Source organism: Homo sapiens, chromosome 10, assembly GCF_000001405.40.
Source record: "Homo sapiens chromosome 10, GRCh38.p14 Primary Assembly".
NCBI classification, from domain to species: Eukaryota; Metazoa; Chordata; class Mammalia; order Primates; family Hominidae; genus Homo; species Homo sapiens.
Genome location: NC_000010.11, coordinates 119,199,109 through 119,214,483, shown reverse-complemented (window position 1 = coordinate 119,214,483; position 15,375 = coordinate 119,199,109). Strand labels below are relative to the sequence as shown.

Here is a 15,375-nt window from a genome sequence, read left to right as displayed (position 1 = left end):
CCAGATTCAGGTCTATCCCTCAAGTATAACCTTTTAATTATGCTTAAATCACATACTGGTCCCTCAGGCCATTGTCCAAATTCTAGGCACAGTAGAGTCAATGCAGTCTACACAGCTAAGGAGGTCACACCCCAGTCAGCCTCAGCTCTTCGGGGAAAAAAATCCAGTTCTGTTCACACCTAGTTGATCAGTTAAAAAACATCAAAAGAGACTGAGTGCAGTGGCTCATGCCTGTAATCCCAGCACTTTGAGAGGCCAAGGCAGGCAGATCACCTGAGGCCAGGAGTTTGAGACCAGCCTGGCCAACATGGCGAAACCCCGCCTCTACTAAAAATACAAAAATTAGCCAGGCTTGATGGTGGGCGCCTGTAATCCCAGCTACTCAGGAGGCTGAGGCAGGAGAATCGCTTGAACCTGGGAGGCAGAGGTTGCAGTGAGCCCAGACTGCGCCACTGCAGTCTAGCCTGCGCGACAGAGCAGACTCTGTCTCAAAACAAAACAAAAAACAAACAAAAAAACATGTAAAAAGAGAACGGCAGTGCCCAATTGCATCTTTTCAGTCATTTCACATTGTATTATCTGAGGCTGACACCCGAATGTCACCTCCGCACTGGGTCCTTCAACAACCAAATGCTGAACAAATAAATTTTACTCTTGTAAGATTTTCAGAAGCCTATTCAAGAATGGTTTCCTCAAAATGAGAAGCAGGGGTGGGGGAAGGGTCCAGTCAGGAAGTAAGGACTTTCTCTTTTAAAAGCAGCACAGTTTTCACAAAATGAAATGCTTCTTCCAGTTTTTGGATGGTAATAAAAGGAATGACATTATCTCTGCCCCCCCAAAATACATCTTTTCAATATTTAGAATATTTTTAAATAAAAATTTTCACTGAAATATAACAGGATATGTTTTAAAGTGGAAATCAACCCTATTATTTAAGGCCATAATACATTTTAATTTTTTATTTTTCTTTTTTGAAACAGAGTCTTACTCTGTCACCCAGTCCGGAGTACGGTGGTGCAATACTGGCTCACTGCAATCTCCACCTCCCAGGTTCAAGTGATTCTCCTGCCTCAGCTTTCCGAGTAGCTGGGATTACATGCGGGCACCACCACACCCCGCTGATTTTTGTATTTTTAGTAGAGACAGGATTTCACCATGTTGGCCAGGCTGATCTCAATCTCCTGACCTCAGGTGATCCGCCTGCCTCGGCCTCCCAAAGTGCTGGGATTACAGACATGAGCCACCATGCCCAGACCATTTTAGTCATTTAAAATCATGCCTTCATCCCCTTGTCTTCAATATTCTCTTCTATTCCATTCATTTATTTATTTATTTTTAGAGACAGGGTCTTGTGTGTTGCCCAGGCTGGAGGGCAGTGGCTATGCACAGATGCAGTCCCACTGCTGATCAGCATGGAGTTTTTACCTGTTCTGTTTCCCACCAAGCCAGTTCACCCCTCCTTGGGCAACTTGGTGGTCCCCACTCCCGAAAGGTCACCATATTGATGCCGAGCTTACTGCAGATACCCAATAGGCATAGTTCGCTCCAGACCAGTACTCCTGGGCTCAAATGATCTTCCTCAGCCTCCAGAGTAGCTGGGACCACAGGCTGTGCCACCGCACTCGGCTCCACCATTCTATTTTGATGTGAGAAATGGGTGCTGAGGGCTGTATGATTGAGGAAATTCCTAATTATCTTCTCAATGTGTCACCTGTTGGTAGTCACTTTCTGTTTTCTCAAGTTTCACCTCTGAGTTGCATGACCTATGACAATAATGCCTTTTGGTAACCAGAAGACTTTTTTATTTCAAAAATGTCTAGACATTATAATGCTTTATCTTGCACTCCAAACATATTGGCAACAAATATTAACTTTGAATATTGCCCACAGTCCTGGATAGTTTTATTTAAAACATCCCAGATATGGATTGAATAGCCCTTGGTAAAGGTGAATTTGGTTAAACATTGAGCCCGCTCCTGAAATTCACTTGGGCATTCTGGAAGTCTTCAGCCCAGATCCAAAGGGTATCATTTAGCAAGCCACTATAAGAGTTATAGCTTCTGAAGACATAATTTAAACAAGGATTAGTTTGGGCACTGGAAGAGTCAAGCACTTTGGAGTTTAGAATCTGACAAGCAGCAGCTAAGCTACTGAAAGATGAGAGCCTTGTGGGCATTTATCTGATGGTTTTTCAAACAGGCAGCCAGATTAACTACAATCATCGTTTGAAATCTTTAAGAAAGCAAAAGGCCTTCTGAAAACATTGCTTTTGGTTTCTCTACCTCCAAGTTGTCAGTACTGAAAAGGAAACTTTAAAAAAAAAAAAAGAAAGGCAGTTTGATTTAACGGCATTGTGTTTAACAGGCCAGGCTGCTTTTACACACACCGAGCTGCCTTAACCAGGATGAAAGCTGTCGCTTGGTAAGATTAACATTAAAATTGAAGGAGAAGCTTCAGGGTGGAGTACGTATGCCTCCACGTATGCCTTCACATAGCCATAAGAGGGCTTTGAGCTTCAGAGATGTTCCAACGTTCTAATAACCTAATTCACCATGTTTTGGTTTTATCACCATGAATTAGGGGTGCAAGGGAAAGAGGTCCAGGGCTTTCAGCCGTGCTGTGGAATGTTAAGTCTGTCCACGCCATAGCCTGCCCCACGCAGAGCTGGATGCTGGCTCACTCCTTCTTCCTGCCCTCCCTAACCTCTTCCAGGCCCCGAGGTGCTAATCTTGATGATCAGGAAGATCCAGCCAAGTCACAGAGTTACCTGAAAAAACGGTTCCTGTGTATTCTAATGTTTGGCAATTGTGACAAATGACAAAGTTGTTCCAGTCCTAACTTCTCAATTCCTGTGCTTGCTAGGGCCTCAGGAAAATGTGATCAATATTCCTTCAGGTATCTTTTTTGATCAGATATGGCTACTGCTGGCCTGTGAAGAAAGGAAAAGCGGGGCCTTGCAAAATTTTTTCTCACCACTGTTCACTCAGAAGAAAGGCAACAGATCTAGAAGATGAGAAAAACACAAAAACCTTTACTGCAACAATAAAACCAAAAAGAAACACACAAAAGGCACTCAGCAAACTCTCCTTCTCATTATTATTTCAACATTAGGTCGCCTGCCAATTTTCTGAGATTCTGAAATGTAAATAAATAGATAGAGTTAGTCTGGGCCTCTTTTTCATGAAATGCTTAATCACTTAGCTCATTCCCATAAATTGCCATGAATTCAGTCTCAACTTCTTTCTTTTTTTCCTTAAGCACTTTTTAGGAGAGCAATCTAAAGTTCCTAAGAGTGATCGAGTTGATGTTTTCTCATGAGACCCAGGACAAATAAACAGGCCCCAAAATACATTTCCGTGGTTCAAAATCTTGAACCCATACCTCTACCTTTTCTTATTTTAAAATAATTATCACAAGTGTTCATGAAGCTTGCTTGCTATATTTTCTAATTACTAACAATCCATCATTTTACTCTAATCCACTTACAGGCTTTCTATTTTATTGCTACATTAATGCTTTCCACTTTATATTATGTCTTATTACGGTAAGACTTTGAAGATACAGTGAATTTAGGAGCCATCTGTCTTTAATGCAAAACAAAAAGAAAAGATAGGTCCCAGTGTTACCCACCAACATGGACAACTACAAATTATTTTACAGCATTTTCAAAGTGTGCCTGTCTTTCTTCAAGGTCTGTTTCTCTATTGTTTGGGACAAATGTGACTTTTACTTGAAAGCCAAATTTTAAATTGCTTACGGTGTATTTTGTTAAGTGAACTAAATTAAATTTCACATTTGCCAATTATATTTCTCATCTGTAACCACTGACAAGAATCTTTAAGAAGTGTTTTTAAACCTTTTAAACAACTCAGATTTTTTTAATATACTGTTTTATATTAGATATTTCACTAAACTGACTGAAGATTTCATTTCTGAATATTTAGATAATATGGTTATTTGGAGAACTACTAAGTTTAGTAAAATAAATTCAAATATATGAGAACTGAGAAGAGAAACATAAATTGCTTTAATTTCTAAAAGTGTCCACACTAATTAGGATATATGGGCTCAAGTCTCTAATAAAGGCCCAGCCAAAAGAAACTGGAAGCACTTAAAATCATGGCTTTCCTCTAGGCATAAGAGAGAAAGAAGGGGAGAGATGCAAATTGTAAATGAGGTTTCCATTAAATGATTAATTTTTCTTGTTCACGTGTCAGTCTCTCCCTGCTTCCGCAGGCCCTCTCCATTTCCAAGGCATCATCAAGAGCTATTTTCTCACCATGAGATGACGACCAAACTCTCACAGCAAAATTGAAAAAGCCTTTAAAAGGAAAAAAAAAAGTGAAAGGCACATTCTTGAGCACTTTCAATCACTGTAATTCTGCCCCAATGGGAGTCGGTCACTCCACACAAGCTTCCAGCCTGCAGCTCTCTTCTCCAAGGCTCTGGGAAAAAAACCCAATTTGTTGGCCTAACGAACAACAATATCAGACAGTAAATTCACGTTGGTGAAAAAATACTGGGGAGAACAATTTGGAGGGGGCGGGTGGAATTGATATCACTTTGCCCACTCTAAGCAAAGCATTATAAAAGAAGCAACCAAATGCTCAGGGAAGAAAAAAAGCATCTATCAGGCAAACAAATATCTACAGCAGCAAATGTCGGGGGCAGATTCCCTGGGCAACAGGAGGAACCAGCGAAACTTGCAAGGCTCCAGTACCATCAGACCCAGTGATTTCCCAAGAAATAATTTCAGAATGGAGCGAGAGTGAAAACTTTCCCAGCCCCCGAATCCTGAGATACACAACCGTGTCCCACCACTAGGTGGCCAGCTGCAAAGGCTGAAAGAGGGGCGGGGGAGGTGGAGGGCTGTTTTCTCTGCTTCCTCCCTTTCAGGACCATTCCCCAACCCAGAGGAGAGCCTACCAGCACCCACCTAGATCCTGTCCACTAAAAATGTCAGGTTAGGAAAAAAAAAAAAAAAAAAAAAAAAAAACCACACACACACACACAGCTCAGGCCTTAGAACCTGAAGTCACCAAGTAACAAGCCTCTCCTAAAAATTTATTCCCACCAAAGCTAAGCAATGGGAGGGAGACTAACCTGAATATTTTAAACTCTGCTGGGGTTTTCAAAGCACTGCCTCCCTTCGGGGCTTCTGAAATAAACCTTCTTGCCCACTGGCTGCTTTAGAGTGACAAGTGACGACGAAAGTAAGACACGAATGCCGGGTTGAGTTGCTGAAACGCTGCCCACGGAAGGCTATGCATCACCTACCCCCACAGTGTGTAGGGAGCCACAAGGTGATGGAACGGGCTGAATAAACACGAATCGTTTTATTGCTGGCCAGAAATTCTTCCCTTCATTCATCAAAGTAGGTGAATGAAAATATTAAGCAGGTAAGACATTTTCATGGGCTGCTCACCGAGTATCCTTCTAAACTCAAGCCCTTACTCAGTCTGCCTTCTACCTTGTATCAAATAAAGCGTTCTCCCGTGAAAGGGAAAAACCTCTTCCCCTTTTATGAAAAAGGTCGCACACTAGAGCTCAAATCTTGACCAGAAAAAAAAAAGGAAAATATGCGACATAAATTCCAGGTATTCCTAAATACATATGTTTACATGGACACAACACAATCATTTCAGGAAGCACCCAAGTTTCTGCCTCCCCCCCCTTTTTTCTGTTTTTCATCAAAAGGAAGAGTCAAAATATGCGTTCTTAGGGTTTGACTCAGGATCTTACACACTCCATTTAGACAATATTTCCTGCCAGCTAAATGCAGGAAATCTAATGATTTGCATAGAAAACGTATCTAAAGCACCAGCACACTTACCTTTCTTTTCTTAACTGAGCCAAAATCTAACAATTTCAGTTATCACACTCCCAGAAAAGAAAAACCTGAAATACTGAATTATTTTCTAGGTGGTCTGTACAGCCATCCTTTGATAATTCTATGAAAAGGCTAATTCCTCAACATCTGACTTTGCCTTTAAAAGGCTTCCTTCCACACGACGGGATTTCCCTAAGAAACATCCCAGCGGATGGTTTCCAGCAATAGTCTATATCAACTCAGCCTGCGCAGGCAAAGACTTGGCTTCTGCTCATTCCACCCCCGCCCCTCGAACACACACACCAGTTCACACAGAACCATCCCGGGCCGACTTGAAACGCTATTTTATGTGCATGTTTGCTCGTCGCTCCCCGAATGAATGCTTTTCCAACTGACCTTTCAACAGCTGCCGAGATGGCACGCTCTGCAGGGCGAGCGCTGGAAACTAGGAGATATGTTAGCATCCAAATCCCTGCAACCTTCTCAGCCCAAGTCCAGATTCTCTGAGCCCCAAGGCAGGAACCCTGAAGGGTCTGCAGAGCCGCTCTCCGAAGTGTCCTGCTCGCGACCCACTCGCCGGCAGCGGGCATCCTGCACGGGCGCAGCCCCAGCCCGCACGCCACCCGACACCCGCACCCTGGCCCGCGGCGGACGCGCCGGGCACGTACCGGCCCTGCCTCTTACCTTCCCTGGCTTTCAGCAAGACCGTGTTGGCCACGATGTTTTCCAGCTCCATTGACAGTCGGCGGTCAGCAACGGAGCCGGCCGGCGGGGCTGTCAGCGCCTGGGGTGCTGCCGCTGCTGCTGCCGCTGCTCGGGCTGCCGCCGCTGCTGCCGGAGCCGGGGGAGCCAGCAGCCCGCCTTGCCTACCGCATTATTCCTGCTCTCAGCCCAAGAGTTTCCCCCTCTGCAAAGAGGAGCCGCCGCCGCCGCCGCCGCCGCCGCCGCTTCTTCCTCCCTCTGTGTCCCCCCTCCCCCCTCCCTCAACACGCTCCCCCCCACCCCCCACCCTCCGCGTGTCTCTGTCACTCCATTCTCCTCCCCTCCGGCTCCCTCGGATGCTTTAATGCCTCGGATGCTTCTGCCTCCCCTCAGTCCCTCCCGGGGGTGTGGTACTAGCAGGCTCGGGCGGCCGCACTGCGCAAGCGCCGGCCCAGGCGCGCCTCCTGCCTCGGTGCTCGCGGCGCGGGGCCTGCTGGGAGCTGGAGTCCTCCCGGCCGCGCGGCGCCGGGGCTGAGCTGGGCTGGCGCGCGGCTGTCGGAGCGAGGACCCGCCCCGGGACGGCACCGAAAGCGAAGGCGGGCACCGCCCGGCCGACAGGCGACTCAAAGGCGGCCCAGCCAAGCCGAAGTCCCCAGCACCCCCCCGCAGGCTCCCGCTTGCCCCCTTCCCGCCCCGTCGCCAGCCCGGAAAGCGGAGTGCACGGGCCCCGGTGACGGCGCGTGAAGCGCCGCGGCCCGGCAGGAGCCAGTGCGGGTCCCGAGCCGTGCTCGGAGTGGGAGGGCTGCCAGCTCGGCCGCGCGCCACAGCCCGCTTCCTCCGGTCCGCGCCAGGCCCGCGAGGGTCTGAGTCCCGGGTCAGTGACGCGCGCCCAGGGTCCCCGCACGCGGCGGCGGCCGGCCCGGCCTGGCCCCTGCCCAGCGTCTCCCACGCGGCGCCTCGGGCCGCGGACAAAGATGCACTTTGTTTCCTCGGAGGGCGCGAAGGGCTCTGCGGGTCGGCTGCGACCCGGCGCTGGCTGCCCGCGCTGCTCTCGGTGCGACCCGAGCGCCCCCCGCCGGCCGCGGTGCGCGGCGCGGGGTCTACGCGGACGGCGCCTGGGGCTCAGGGTCCAGCGTGGGAAGCTGCTTATTCTGTGAATAAACTGCCTTCCAGCACACCCGGCCAGCAAATCCACGAGCCTCCCTGCAGCCAAACCCAGCCAGATTAAGTAATAAAAACGCAGACGGAGTCGCCGGAGTCTCCGCCGTGGGGAGCGTTAATGAGTAACAGCCAGGCCAGCGCCAAGCCGGCGTGGGATTAACGTTTTTAAATTCCGGTCTTATTTATTTTGGGGCTCTTAGCTCCTTCCAGTGTTATGCTCAGAACATCAGACTCCAGGTCTGTGCTCAGCCCCGTTTCCTTGCTCCCTCCGCTCCGAAGGCCCCACTCCTGGAAATGGGCTGTCTTCGGTCACCCGGGATCTGCCACGAGTGTCCTACAGCTGGGGGCGGGGCAGGCAGGCCCCAAAGAACAATGAGGCCTTTGCCTCCTCTGCATCCTGCGGGCCGGATATCCGTTCAGAAGCCGACTCTGGGCCTTCTCTGTCCAGAAGGAGGAAACCCTCTGTCCCCAGGGCTGCCAGGAAGTCGCAGGGAGGTGCCGAGAGAAACAGAGAACAGTTATTATGCATTGGAGAATATAAAGAAATCAATAAACCTTCCAGGCCTTGGAAACTGGTCTGGTCACTGATTGTAACAACCCAAGATTACCTGCTTTCCTGGGGGAGTATACCCACCACCACCACTTCCTGGTGTCTAGACTTGGGTCAGTGAGTCTCCCAGGGCCTCATTTATCTTGTCTGCAAAATGGGGGCAACAACAGTTTACCTGTCAGAAGGCGGAGGGCTCAGCGGGTAACTTTTCAGGCACTTACCACTCCAGGAATTACTGTTCTAAGCAATCCAGGCTTGGTCTTTGCTACATATTCACGTGCCTAGAGCCCTAACCTTTAATGAAAGGATCTCTCTCAGACAGCGAGACCCCTAAAGCTGGCAGCTCCTAGAGCCCTCCACCAACCACGCTGGTCACTTGCTGGCAGCATAGGGCCTGATGAAGCCCGAAGTTTGTTTATTCGGCTAACATAAAAAAAAAAAGAAAGAAAATTTTTGAATGCCTTTAGATGGCTTATGCACCTTAACAATTTTCTTGGGCCGGGCGCGGTGGCTTACGCCTGTAATCCCAGCACTTTGGGAGGCCGAGGCGGGAGGATCACGAGGTCAGGAGATCGAGACCATCCTGGCTAACAGTGAAACCCTGTCTCTACTAAAAATACAAAAAAAAAATAGCCGGGCGTGGTGTTGGGCTCCTGTAGTCCCAGCTATTCAGGAGGCTGAGGCAGGAGAATGGCGTGAACCCGGGAGACGGAGGTTGCAATGAGCCGAGATCGCGCCACTGCACTCCAGCCTGGGCGACAGAGCGAGACTCCGAACCAAAAAAAAAAAAAAAAAAAAAAAACAATTTTCTCAAAGGTTGTTTTTGTTTGTTTTTTTGTTTTGTTTTGTTTTGAGACAGTTACTCTGTCACCCAGGCTGGAGTGCAGTGGCCCAATCTCGGCTCACTGCAACCTCGGCCTCCCAGGTTCAAATGATTCTTGTACTTCAGCCTCCCAAGTAGCTGGGATTACAGGTGTGTGCCACCATGACTGGCTAATTTTTGTATTTTGAGTAGAGACGGGGTTTCGCCATAATGGCCAGGCTGGTCTTGAACTCCTGGACTCAAGTGATCCAACCCGCCTCTGCCTCCCAAAGTGCTGGAATTACAGGCATAAGCCACCATGCCTGGCTCAAAGTTTCATGAGCATACAAATCACGGGGGATCTTGTTAAAATGCAGATTGCATTTGGATAGATCTGGGGTGGTTTCTGAGATGTTGCTCTTTCTAACAAACTCCAGGGCTCTGTCGATCCTCGTGGTCAGTAGACCACACTCAGAGTTGAAAAGCTTTCTAGTTTACCGTAACTCCCTATTGTCTTATACCCAGCCCAAGTCACTAGTGATTTTATTTATCTGGCCTGTATAGACATTTAAGTTTTCCATCCTGGGAACCCCTGCCTCTCCCTCTCATTTTACAGATGTGAAACAGACCCAAAGTAAGTGAGTTGGCATGGTCACTCAGCAAGTTAGTGTTAGACTATTTTTTTGTCCACTACAAGCTGTTGCATCCTGCCTACACAAATACATGGTTGTACATCAGGTTTTTGTGCCTCTATGAGGAAATTCAGACACTCCAATGCAAGAATGGAACAATAATGGCTAGCATTTACTCAACACCAACTGTGGGCCAGGCTCTTGTGGTCTTTTAAATGGATTATCTCCTTGAACACAATATCCAGATGAGGTAGGGAACACAGGCCTATTTTATAGATAAAGCACCAGGTTAAGAAAGGTTTTATAGGCCGGGCACGGTGGCTCACGCCTGTAATCCCAACACTTTGGGAGGCCAAGGCAGGCAGATCACCTGAGGTCAGGAGTTCGAGACCAGCCTAACATGGTAAAACCCCGTCTCTACTAAAAATACAAAAATTAGCTGGGTGTAGTGGCAGGTGCCTTGTAATCCCAGCTACTCGGGAGGCTGAGGTAGGAGAATGACTTGAACCCGGGAGCCAGAGGTTGCAGTGAGCCAAGATCATGCCATTGCACTCCAGCCTGGGCAACAGAGTGAGACTTTTTTTTTTTCCTCAAAAAAAAAGAAAGGTTTTATAATTTGTCCAGGGTCACATAAGTAATAAGTAGAAGACCCGGGATTTGAACCTGTCAGCCTGACTCAGAGTTGGTGCACTTAATTTCTGGCTTGCGCAAGCTAGCCAGCACAGCTTGGTAGTAACTGTTCTGTGTGGCTGCCGGGATGAACTTGTATTATAAGAAGGCAAAGCACCCAGTTGACTAAATCATTAAGATTTCAAGGGGTTTTCCATTTTCATCTATAATTCCACCATTATGGCTTTATTCCTTTCAATTAACTGCACTAACAACTCGTGGTCTTCTTGAAAAATGGGTTTGATTCAAGGAAGAGTAGGCTATTAAATATAAATAGCTAAGTAGGGAATCATTGACAGCCAGCTGAGAGCAAGAAGGGAAATCCAAATGGAGGAGTGGGGGTGAGGATGGAGGGATGGGAATATGTCAAAGACAGCCAGCTTCAGACTCCACTCAGGAGCAGCTGAGCCAAAAATGCAAAAGAAGTCAGATGCAGTGGCTCATGCCTACAATCCCAGCACTTTTAGAGGCTAAAGCAAGGGTGCAGGGGATGGGGGGGTGGAGATCGCTTGAGCCCAGGAGTTCGAGACCAACCTAGGCAACATAGCGAGACCCTGTCTCTACGAAATAAACCTAAAAATTAGCCAGGTATGGTGGCACTGAGCTATGATCGCCCCACTGCACTCCAGCTTGGGTAACAGAGTAAGACTGTCTCTAAAAAATAAAAAAGCAAAAGAAACAGGGAACCTTCAAATTCTTCTCTCAGCACCTGTATCTGCCATGAATAAAGCTGCTGGGTCAGAGTTCTTGTAAATAGAAGTCTACTATGCTGGAAAGCCACAAACCTATCGGCCTTCTAAAATATAGATTCCTTTTGCCTGAATAATCAAATTGGCTTTCTGAATAGTCCAGGAACTGGAGTTTCCATTCCTTTCCTTGACTCAAAGCTTTTTAATCCTCAGGAAGCAGCTGCAGATAGAGCTTCCATTCTCTCATTTATCCTCTTCTCCTTCAGAGTTTACCTTTCTGTGTCCAGCCCTGCAGGGAGTTCAAGGCAATTTCCCAGGGAGCTCGCCACTGGGAAGGAAAACACACCGGATGCAAACAACCTCCATACAATGGAATAAGGGCCATTGTGGAGACACACACAAAGGACTTTGCAAACGGGAAGAAGTGATTTCAGGCACCAAAAGAGGAGAAATGTGAGCTGAAAGCAAATCTGGAGGCTTGAGGTTTCCAGTTAACATTTCCTCCCCTCTGAATTCCCTTCATCAATGGACCTCAGTGGTTATCAATTGGACATTAAAAGTTTTACTATGGGCAGGGCACAGTGGTTCACGTCTGTAATCCCAGCACTTTGGGAGGCCAAGGTGGGCAGATTACCTGAGGTCAGGAGGTCGAGAACAGCCTGGCCAACATGGTGAGACCCGTCTCTTCTAAAAATACAAAAACTAACCAGGTATGGCAGCGTGCGCCTGTAGTCCCAGCTACTCAGAAGGCTGAGGCACGAGAATCACTTGAACCCGTGAGGCAGAAGTTGCAGTGAGCCGAGATGGTGCCGCTGTGCTCCAGCCTGGGCGACAGAGCGAGACTCTGTTTCAAAAAAAAAAAGAAAAAGTTTTAACATGTTGTAAACTGCCTATTGCTCTTCTAGTGACTTCATATTTTTCTTTTTTTTTTTTTTTTTTGAGATGGAGTCTCGCTCCGTTGCCCAGGCTACAGTGCAGTGGCATGATCTCGGCTCACTGCAAACTTTGCCTCCTGGGTTCAAGCGATTCTCCTGCCTCAGCCTCCCGAGTAGCTGGGATTACAGGTGCGCACCACCACACCTGGCTAATTTTTGTATTTTTAGTAGAGGTGGGGTTTCACTATGTTGACCAGGCTGGTCTTGAACTCCTGACCTCAAGTGATCCACCCACCTCGGCCTCCCAAAATGCTGGGATTACAGGTGTGAGCCACCATGCCCGGCCAATATTTTTCTTTAAAGTCAGCTCACTTTGAAAACTTTAATTCATCCTAACCAATAATATTTGTGAAATGTGAGGAGTAGTAGAAGTGTCATGCTTGAGAAAACCAATCTCCAAGCAACACGTGGTGTCTTTGCAGCCTTTGGTTTCCAGATGAACTGGCCAATCTTAATGAATCGATTGGTTTTGCCAGGTGATTATTACCTATACACATCTAACCACCTAGCTTGGTCACAAGATTTTGTGGGATCATTTGTCTTGCATCAATTCTCAACTGCAAGTTCAGAAAAGAAGATTCTTGCTGAAATGCACACACCTGCTGATTGTCTCAGCCACATGTGGTTGCCAAACTCCCATCACTACAGCAATTTAACACAGTCTTCTTTAATGAAAAGGAAAGTCCTCCTTCCCTGGTGCCATGTTCAGTCAGGAGGGTTCCCACAGTAGATGTGTTACAAAGTTTAATGAGACAGCTTTTCAGTCCGTGCACCTTTCTCCAGTACCCATCCCATTACTATACCCAGAACCTCATCCAATCCTCCAAGGCAGGTACTTTCGAAAGACATTGTTGCCTCCATTGTATACAGAGGCAACTGAGCCTCAGAGAATTAGGAGGTCTGCTGCCCAAGGCCAACTGATTAAGTGGATGGTGAGGCTATTTAGGTGTCTGCTTTCCCTACTCAAAGGCCTAAAATGTGTCTTTTTTCATCTTTTGATTCTCTTCTCTATTGAACCTAGTACATGCCTGACACAGGGAGCATTTGGCCATATTTATTGACTTATACCCCATATGGCATGACTCAGCCCCACCTGGGCCTCCTGGCTGCTAAGTTTTGCTATATTAGGTAACTATCAAAATTCCCACATCTCTGCCAGGTCAGATTTTAAAAGGGAAAAAATTAGGGGAGATTGGTCTCCTGTCAGAGGTCAACGTGTTACAGAAAGTCAAGGGCAGACTGTCAGTCCCTGGAACTTCCAGCTCTCTGATGGTACCTCTGACCTCGAACCTGGCATCTCCTATAATCAACCCAGTAGTTAAATTGGTCCCAGAATTTTAAAGGAAACTAGGCAAACCAACTTCGATTCCATTTTCAGACTGAGTAAAACATGAGATGTTTAACCCAAAAATGGCACACAGAAAGTTGGGCACTTTTTTGTTTGGTTCAGTGATGAAACAATCAATAGATTTAGATGGAGGAAAAATGTTCAAATAGGCAAGGAAATTACACAGTAAAAATATAAAAATTAATTCTGTACTTTCAGAGTAGGTGAAGGAAAAATAACCTCTTCTCCAGTAATTTTTACTTATTTTTATATATATTTTTTGAGATGGAGTTTTGCTCTTGTTGCCCAGACTAAAGTGCAATGGCGCCATCTTGGTTCACTGTCTCCCAGGTTCAAGTGATTCTCCTGCCTCAGCCTCCTGAGTAGCTGGGATTACAGGCGCCTGCCACCACGCCCAGCTAATTTTTTGTATTTTTAGTAGAGATGGGATTTCACCATGTTGGACAGGCTAGTATTGAACTCCCGACCTCAGGTGATCCGCACACCTCGGCCTCCCAAAGTGCTGGGATTACAGGCATGAGCCACTGTGCCCGGCCCCTTTTCCAGTAATTTACTTAAAAGCCAATGATTTCCTGTTAATATAGGTAAGGAAAGAATCCAGACCATCACTTGTGGTCTCTTTATGACCAGCATCTATCAGGTGATGACATGCCTAAAGCTAGTCAATTGTTTTGCATGGTAGCCTATATTGGACATATAGATACGATCTTATCAATGGTAGAACTCCTTCTTAAGAGGAGGAGGAGGCAGGCTGAATTAAATGCAACATTAGGAGCCCTTATAACCAGATGACTCATAGGTGAAGTGGGCTCACAGGGTTTCAACCCTCCTGCTGCGATAGCATAAACTTTCTTTTATTTATGTATTTTTTTTTTTTTTGAGATGGAGTCTCACTCTTGTCACCCAGGCTGGAGTACAGTGGCACGATCTCGGCTCACTGCAACCTTCGCCTCCCAGGTTCAAGCGATTCTCCTGCCTCAGCCTCCTGAGTAGCTGGGATTACAGGCGCCCTCCACCACACCTGGCTAATTTTTTGTATTTTTAGTAGAGATGGGGTTACATCATGTTAGCCAGGCTGGTCTCGAACTCCTGAACTTAGGTGATCCACCCACCTCGGCCTCCCAAAGTGCGGGGATTACAAACGTGAGCCACTGCGCCCAGCCACATAAACTTTCTCTTGCTCCAAAAACTCTGAGTCCAATTATTTTTGAAGCCTCGGAATAAAGCGTTTACTGACCTAAGATAGGCCATTATATGCATGTGTATATTTCATGGCCCCGATAAAAGGAGGATATATTTTCTCCTTCATTGAAATCTCAGCTAGCCAGTTATATGCTAAATGTAATGCATTGCACAGAATGATCTTTTTTTACAATTACATAAAATAGAATATAATATCTAATTTGCCCAGTTGGTTTGGAGCAGCTCAAGTCCTCCTGTAGTGGCATCTTAGAGCAAAGCTGTGAGTTGATGTGCTATAGAAATGAGCTTGTGCAGGAGCAGTTAGATACAGTTGGAGCACTCACTCCAAGCAGCTGTCCTAGTCTCCTCCATGGAGAGAGGATGCCACCTAGCATGAACTCTGGAGAGCTGCAGCCAAATGGCGAAAGCAAGCTGCAAGCTCCGCAACCTTCGTATGCTCCAGGATACCAATCAGACCCCTCCAGTCCAGGCTGAATGGGACCTCTGTTTGGGGGAGGTGGGAGGCAGGTCAGCCTGGGGAGACACTGGTTAATGTGTGTCCCAGTCCTTTAGGGCTGCTACAACAAAGCATCTTAGACTGGGTAACTTACAAACAATAGAAATGGATTGCTCGTAGTTCTGGAGGCTGGAAAATGCAAGATCAGGGCACCAGCAGATATGGTGTCTGGTGAGAGCTCCCTGCTTCATGGATGGTGCCTTGTTGCTACGTCCTAACGTCACAGAAGAAGCAAAAGAGCTCCCTCAGGCCTCTTTTATCGAGGCGCTAATCCTATTCAGGAGGACTCCATTCTCATGACCCAGTCACTCTCAAGGCTCCATCTCTTAATACCCTAGAAGGGCCAGGATGGGGAAAA

General features: G+C 47.1%; 1 protein-coding gene, 1 long non-coding RNA gene and 1 pseudogene across 3 annotated transcripts in view, besides 6 other annotated features; all 3 read right to left on the bottom strand.

Annotated features, from left to right (window-relative positions):
• GRK5 (G protein-coupled receptor kinase 5) overlaps positions 1 to 6,913 on the bottom strand; it is a 252,175-nt gene extending 245,262 nt beyond the window's left edge. Inside the window, exon 1 of the mRNA NM_005308.3 lies at positions 6,515 to 6,913. Within this exon, the coding sequence (NP_005299.1) occupies positions 6,515 to 6,566 (52 nt within the window). The 5' untranslated portion in view covers positions 6,567 to 6,913. The remainder of the gene's footprint in view (positions 1 to 6,514) is intronic.
• RN7SL749P (RNA, 7SL, cytoplasmic 749, pseudogene) lies at positions 1,338 to 1,627 on the bottom strand (annotated as a pseudogene).
• On the bottom strand, positions 1,780 to 6,794 carry GRK5-IT1 (GRK5 intronic transcript 1). Of its 2 annotated transcripts, none has more exons than NR_186529.1 (2): positions 6,515 to 6,794; positions 1,780 to 3,003 (listed from the first exon to the last, which is right to left on the bottom strand). It is a non-coding gene; the product is annotated as a GRK5 intronic transcript 1 (long non-coding RNA). The 2 variants fall into 2 exon arrangements; NR_186528.1 differs by lacking the exon at positions 6,515 to 6,794 and adding an exon at positions 5,834 to 6,063.
• Positions 6,487 to 6,536: a silencer, noted in NCBI's record as "silent region_2873". NCBI's record gives its function as "represses an Ori minimal core promoter by ATAC-STARR-seq in GM12878 lymphoblastoid cells {active_cell/tissue: GM12878}" and the evidence as "EXISTENCE:reporter gene assay evidence [ECO:0000049][PMID:35858748]".
• Positions 6,587 to 6,656: a silencer, noted in NCBI's record as "silent region_2872". NCBI's record gives its function as "represses an Ori minimal core promoter by ATAC-STARR-seq in GM12878 lymphoblastoid cells {active_cell/tissue: GM12878}" and the evidence as "EXISTENCE:reporter gene assay evidence [ECO:0000049][PMID:35858748]".
• Positions 6,867 to 7,696: a silencer, noted in NCBI's record as "silent region_2871". NCBI's record gives its function as "represses an Ori minimal core promoter by ATAC-STARR-seq in GM12878 lymphoblastoid cells {active_cell/tissue: GM12878}" and the evidence as "EXISTENCE:reporter gene assay evidence [ECO:0000049][PMID:35858748]".
• Positions 8,037 to 8,146: an enhancer, noted in NCBI's record as "active region_4107". NCBI's record gives its function as "activates an Ori minimal core promoter by ATAC-STARR-seq in GM12878 lymphoblastoid cells {active_cell/tissue: GM12878}" and the evidence as "EXISTENCE:reporter gene assay evidence [ECO:0000049][PMID:35858748]".
• Positions 8,167 to 8,216: an enhancer, noted in NCBI's record as "active region_4106". NCBI's record gives its function as "activates an Ori minimal core promoter by ATAC-STARR-seq in GM12878 lymphoblastoid cells {active_cell/tissue: GM12878}" and the evidence as "EXISTENCE:reporter gene assay evidence [ECO:0000049][PMID:35858748]".
• Positions 8,327 to 8,406: an enhancer, noted in NCBI's record as "active region_4105". NCBI's record gives its function as "activates an Ori minimal core promoter by ATAC-STARR-seq in GM12878 lymphoblastoid cells {active_cell/tissue: GM12878}" and the evidence as "EXISTENCE:reporter gene assay evidence [ECO:0000049][PMID:35858748]".